Source organism: Homo sapiens, chromosome 11, assembly GCF_000001405.40.
Source record: "Homo sapiens chromosome 11, GRCh38.p14 Primary Assembly".
Lineage (NCBI taxonomy): Eukaryota > Metazoa > Chordata > Mammalia > Primates > Hominidae > Homo > Homo sapiens.
The window spans coordinates 95698322-95705160 of record NC_000011.10 but is presented as its reverse complement, the minus strand read 5'-3'; the positions used below and the strand labels follow the sequence as shown (position 1 = coordinate 95705160).

General features: G+C 39.7%; 1 long non-coding RNA gene across 1 annotated transcript; it reads right to left on the bottom strand.

The window, feature by feature from the left end:
• Positions 1–3986: 3986 nt before the first annotated feature.
• On the bottom strand, positions 3987–5804 carry LOC107984377 (uncharacterized). Its single transcript, XR_001748337.2, has 2 exons — positions 5622–5804; positions 3987–4727 (listed from the first exon to the last, which is right to left on the bottom strand). It is a non-coding gene; the product is annotated as an uncharacterized LOC107984377 (long non-coding RNA).
• Between the last annotated feature and the right edge of the window lie 1035 nt (positions 5805–6839).

The following is a 6839-nucleotide window of genomic DNA, read 5'->3' as shown; positions in this document are numbered from 1 at the left end:
CCAGTGAAGGGATAGCACCTGGCTTAGGGGTTGACACAGAGTATAAACTCAGGAAGTGTTGGATTGAACATCCACTTTCTCCTTATTTTATGTTCAAGGGCGTAGGATATTTTATCTTTGTTTACTTTTCCTTTACTTTTTTTTTTCCCCCGTGAAGAATGCAGTAAAAATATTCAGGGCTAAATGGAAACATTAGGGTCACCTAGGGCAGCCCTGTGACATTTTGTTTTTCAGAAGCAGCTGTTTCCCTGTCCTTTCCTATCTTCCCATTCCTCTGTGAATTCCATGATGTTCTCTTGCAATAATGGCCCTGAACTATTCCATTCCACCTGGATCCATTGCCTTTCCTCCCTCTCCTCTCCATTAGAATAACACTTTTCCATGCCTATGAGAAATTAATATGTCAGTTCTTCTGGTACTGTTATAAATTCAAAAATTTTAAAAGTTCATAGTTACATTTTTACTTGTCCAACCACTTGACCCAGTTTTAGATTTGTAAAATATGTTCACTATATTCAAGATCCCCTGGTAGTTAATCTGAAGAAATGTCCTGATCAGTGTTTGAGTAGAAGCTAATGACTAAATTTGTAATCACCCCTTTCCCTCTAATTGCACTTTAAAAAAGGGAGCGAAGAATTTCAGGCACATGGTAGCCTGATGAAGGAGGTGATTTGGGGGTGGGGAGGCCATTTAGTTCTGTCAAATCACACCCTCTATGAGGAGAGTTACATACTGCAACAAAATCTCCTGGGACCCTTCTTCTGCAGCCTGGTGCCTTCCAGTATATAGTAGGGCATATTCAAATAGGAATAATCCTGCTAAAGCAACATTCTGGAAGGGCTGTTTCTAATATTTGCTTACCCTGATCACCAGAACCTTGGTTGTGATTTTCCACTGGGCAGATCCAGTCCAGATAATTATCCATCAAGATATTTTCTTACTGGGGGATTTATATGAGGTGTTACACAAATGAAGGAGAATAATTAAACCCATAACCAAGGAATATACTAGGTTCAACTATGTACTTAACGAGCAAATACAAACACACACACATACACCACCACCACTCCTGCAAATAATATATAGTCAAGCAATTGCAGTATTTCATATCTTAAGTTATTACAGAACTGATAAAAGGTTTATCCAGGGATACCTAAAGGAAATGTCTCTGCCTGGCCCATGTATAGATCTTTACTTCCCCCCCACCTTTTCATCTAATTCTAGTATGTGATTTTATTATCTTTTATGTGACACTATTCCACATTCCCCATAGGTTTCTATTGGAATGGTTACTTCTTGAATCGGAGCACTTAAACTACTTGAGAAGTCTCAGGCTTTCTATCTGCAATTGCTTCGAGTTTACGCCTTAACATGAGTTTCTATCAGCTGTATCTCTTTAGTTCTCATTACTCTTCTTCTAAGCACAACTGCCTGGATCTGTGTCATGCTAGAACTTTTAGAGATTTTCTTTTTTTCAGTCAGCTCACAGCACTGGTCACCTAGGAATGACTTAACTCTTTCCTGTGCTTCACTTCATTTTTTTCAGCTCTCTCATTCAGTGGAGGCAGTGTGAGTAGTTATATAAATAACTCTAGCTTTTAATTGAGAAGAGAACAAATTCCAACTCAATAACTACCTAAAAGTCTTTCCATTGTGAAAATGCCGTCAACTTAGGCATCTTCCTCCATCTTTTTGGTGTGCATAGAATAACCATTTTTGTTTTTGCCTAAAACATGCAGTTTCACAGTTATGCAAACCTGGGACAAGGTCTTTTCTCATATTAGGGTGAGAATGAGGCCAAGAGAGCAAGCAGTGCAGCCTGTGTCATTGTCTATCTGCTGAATGTTGGTAGCCCTTCTTCTAAAGAGAAACCAACACAGAGAAAACAGGCAGTATTGCTAAAAAACCATCTGTGAATGGTGCGGTAGGTCACAGGAAACAGAACATCTTTTGGGGCTCCCCCACCCCCATAGAAAGAATGCAAGACTTGGGACTATTCTATAAACTTTTCAGCGCCTTAATGGGTGGTTGCTGAGGACCCTGGGAATATAATCCAGTAAGTTTTCGCACTTATCCCCTCCCCACCAAATAAACAAGTTGCACTGGTTTTCCTAAATCTCTCTCTGAAGACTTGGTTGAAATTGAAGTGGTCAGTATTATGTTGGGTCAGAGGTTAAATTCTGGACTAAATTGGGGGAACACAGAGACTTAGAAGGATTGAGGATAAGTGATAAAGTTTTTGTTAAACTGTAAAATGCATTTAGGATTTAACATTTAAGCACCATTGTTTAGAAAATGCCATGATTCAAGCTGACATGAAAATGTGTGTGTGTGTGTGTATTCATATGGCTCCTTTCCCAGCTCTTAAAGCCTCGCCATGACTCACTGCTCTTTTTCCCCCAGTAAATAATCTTCACCATGAATTGAATTAACTGGAAATGACAGATAGCAATGTTTTATTTTATTATTACTATAAATCAGTAGTAGCTAAAGGATGTTTGCTTGGTAGGTCTGGACTCTTTAGTCTTTGAGTTTCCTGAAGGTCAGAGGTTTTTAAAATTCAGAAGGGTATTAAGTGTGGGTCCTGAGGTTATCTTTCTGTTTGCGAGAGGGATAGACTAGAGATAATACTTTTTAAATACTTCTTTTTTTTTTTTTTTGACAGAGTCTCGCTCTGTCACCCAGGCTGGAGTGCAGTGGCGGGATTTTGCCTCACTGCAAACTCTGCTTCCTGAGTTCAAGCAATTCTCCTGCCTCAGCCTCCTGAGTAGCTGGGATTCTAGGTGTGTGCCACCATGGTCAGCTAATTTTGTTTTTTGTTTGTTTGTTTGTTTTGGTTTTTTTGAGACGGAGTCTCACTCTGTCACCCAAGCTGGAGTACAGTGGCGCGATCTCGGCTCACTGCAAACTCCAACTCCCGGGTTCTTGCCATTCTCCTGCCTCAGCCTCCCGAGTAGCTGGGATTACAGGCGCCCGCCACCAGGCCCAGCTAATTTTTTTGTATTTTTATTAGAGACGGGGTTTCACTGTGTTAGCCAGGATGGTCTCAAACTCCCGACCTCAGGTGAGCCACCCTCCTCGGCCTCCCAAAGTTCTGGGATTACAGGTGTGAGCCACTGCTCCTGGCCTAAAAGACTTCTTATAACCCAGGAGAATTTAAAACATAAAAAAAAGGACTTCTTATAAAAAAAATTTTTTTTTTAGTAGAGATGGCATTTTGCCATGTTGGTCAGGTTGGCCTCGAACCCTTGACATCAGGTGATCCACCTGCCTCGTGGTGGTGGACGTCTGTAATCCCAGCTACTGAGGAGGCTGAGACATGAGAATAGCTTGAACCTGGGAGGCGGAATTTGCAGTGAGCCGAGATTGTGCCATTGCACTCCAGCCTGGGCAGCAGAGCGATTCTCAAAAAAAAAAAAAAAAAGTTTCTCCTGGTTGCTTTCTGAATGAATGGCTTGAGCATTTAGGTTCTTTTTTATAGGGAAATTTTTCTTTATTGCAGTGAAAGAAGTTAAGATGCTTCAGGAACTGAGGCTGCTTTATGCAGCACTTAACACAGTAGTAAGAAAGTACTCTGGATGCATTTGTTGATTAAATGATTGAAAAGTCAGCTGCTCGACTCTTTTCTCTATTAATAAAAACAAATGTAATCCTGGCACACAAACTGTAATCTGAAAATGGGTTTTAGAAATCCACTCTACTGAATAAATGGGCCATTAGAGCCTTTCATTATTGAGGTTAAGAAGGTACATTAGACTAGATGGAGGTGGGAATGAGGAGGAGGGAGAGGTATGTTTAACGATTTCTAAATGTTGATAGAGAAGACATTTTAGCTCCCAAGTTTTCATCTACCTAATATTCCTACTGACAGCATAAAAAATCATAATGTCTGGAAATTATCAGGAACTGTGAAGGGTTGAGATTTTATCCTACTTGTAAGTTAATACATTAGCCTGCTACAGTTTCATAGATGCTGACAGAACTCCTGGGTTGGAAACAAAGAATTTTATTACTCAGATTGACAGCAATAGGCAGAGTATCAATTTTTTGTGGCAGTTCCTTGAGCCCCATTTTCCACAGGGTGATGTGAAGAAGGCCAGGTGACACCTGCACATGAGCCACATGACAAGAGAAGAACTCTGAAACCAGGGAACTGAAATCCATTACAATGCACAGTAAGCATGCCTACCCTGTTGCTGGAGGTAAATTCTGTATCTTTCAAGGCTACTTTCTATGCAGAATCCTTGAAAAAGATATTTCAAAGCAAAAGAAGTCAGTGCCTCAAAGAAGGTACATTCTGTGTATTTCAGGGCTACTTTCCATGCAGAATCCTTGAAAATATATTTCAGAACAAAAGAAGTCAGCGTCTCTAATTGCAAGATGTTCAGAAAGTGAGAGTCCCACGGAGAAACTGTCCTCCAACGAAGTTCTTGGAAGAATGTGATATCTATGCCCAATGCATGCTGTTTCTTTTCCACTGCTATCGTTAAGCCACCATCTTAAATGTAGTGGTTTTCTCTGCTTTCAGTTTCTGCTTTCAAGTCTGGTTTGGAATTACCCTGGGTATCTTTATTTTTCTTGAGTCTTCCCCTTAAGGGTTCCCAGGAATCTTCGCAAACAAGGAAGGTGACAACTCAGCTAGGTCTCAGGAAGGAGGAAGTAACTTTTTCTGGGACAAATAACGACACTTGATGGACCCAGGCATGCCATAGTGACACTTGATTGATCTAGGGGAGAATAAATAAGAGGGGAACAAATGCAGTGTGGGTTAGAATGGGCAAATAAAGGAGAAGAGAGAAAGGGAGAGAAGGATCAAATACGACTCCTCCTTCTCCCAATAAAAGGGCTATGTAGTACAGTGTGGGGGATGAGAAATGAAGAGAACAGAGTTATGTGACAGAGCTTGACAACCACTGTTTATGACAAGCAGGTTGGTGAGCAGAAAACAAAAGAGAAAGAGAAGGAGGAAAAAAAGGAGACGTGAGAAATTGATGGAGATTTGCATAGTTCAAATCTAACTGCATTAGTTAAAATTTTTCCTTGAATATTTTTATCTGCCATTTCCAGTAGAATCAGGGATGGTATTTAGCATCTATTTATGAAAAGTAACACAGTGAGTCATAGAATACTGGTAAGGCTAAAGCCCCAGAGGAAACTGTGTGGGTAGCAGAGAAATCAAGCTTTCATACATTGAAGTAGCTGCAAAAGATAAAGATTCTTTTTTTTTAAGTCCCTCTATTTAGTATAGTGAACAATTTAAAGGAAGCTTGAAGAAAACATGTTATGTAAGTAAAAAGTGAATGTTTGATTTCTACAACTTACAGAGAAAGTTAAATGAATTCAGACTTTTTTTATAGGTGTAAGTGGGACTCCACCAGCACCACCAGACTTTGTGAATGGTGTCTGTGTCCAGAAGGCACCATCTTGCAATCAAGCTTTTTAATCTTCTCAGCATCCATAAAGACTTCACTAAATCTCTTTAACAGCAAAGCAAACAATGTGTCCATCAATGGGACAAAAACATGAACCAGATTGCCTCACTGCAAGCCCAGATTTGGACCCACAGTGTTAAACTATAATGGAAATTAATAAGGTGGAAAATCAAGAGAGAGAAAACATACCATTTCTTCCTCTCTCTCTTTGATCAAAGTTGACTCTCCTCTCTAAGATAGTGGGAGGTGATATGGCAGGTAGTTCTTTTCACACTGACTCACAGAACTGCTCTGTGCAAGAAACAACTCCCTCTTTGTGAAATCCAGGAACATCATGGCTGAGGCAAACAGAAATGCATGAGTAAAGGGATGTGCTGTTCAAATGGGCAGAGATGAGCAGCCTACCCTTGTGATCTTTCATACAGAAGGACTTCTGTTTGTAAAAGGCAGGGAAGGAGAGCTTGCTGAAGAAGCTGCCCTCAACAACAATATTTTTGGATTCTTACATGCTGATCTTTTAAGAAGTAGCTGAATTTCCTCATGAAACACTGTGTTTTTTCTCGTCTTCAAATGACTCAATCTGGCGTGCTGGAAATTTCAGTTTGTGGCCCAGCTTTCCTGCAGAATAGCTACATGGTCTTGCACAAGGTTTGCAATCCATGGAGAAGATAAGACAATGGGTATAAAATGTTAAGTCCTAGATGAATGAAAATAATAATTATTATGTAAGGAGTATCCCAAATCCATTTTCCTTCCTAAGGAGAAGACTTAAATTAGCCCTGTCCAAAAAAGAAATTCTTGCTAATTTTCTTTTTATCTCCAATCACCAGCATCCCGACCACAGGTCTTAACCTAGCATAGTATCCTTCCTCTTTCTTTGTTTCTTCCTGTAGAGTGTGAATACTACTTTTAATCTTATGTAGGTATTATTCGATGATTATTATTCTACTCTTTCTGTTCTCTACATATTGATCCTGCAAATATTGGCTGTTTCAGAGAGTGGAAATCTCTCAAGGGCATGGAATCATAAAAGTGAAACACAACTAGGTGTTGACTAATACTTTGTGTTAACTTGAAGACAAGGTTGATGATGATAATGATGATCTTTTTCACAGTTTACTAAAAGTAAGGGAAGTGGTAAATTTATTCCCAAACATCCCTCAGAGAAAGATCCTAAGATGTATGCAAAAATCATGGAGAGAGAAAAAAATAATGAAGAAAAGGAAGAATGACCTAGTCTTGTCCTTTTACATGTATAGAGAGCATTTCCACTTCTACATTTCATCATTATGTGAAATTCAACATGTCTTAAACCAAACTCTCTTTTCTCCCTCAAAGCAGCTCTCCTGATTAGCGTCCCCATTTCAGGTTTATTCTCATAGCTTCCTAAGCTCAAAACCCCTGAGT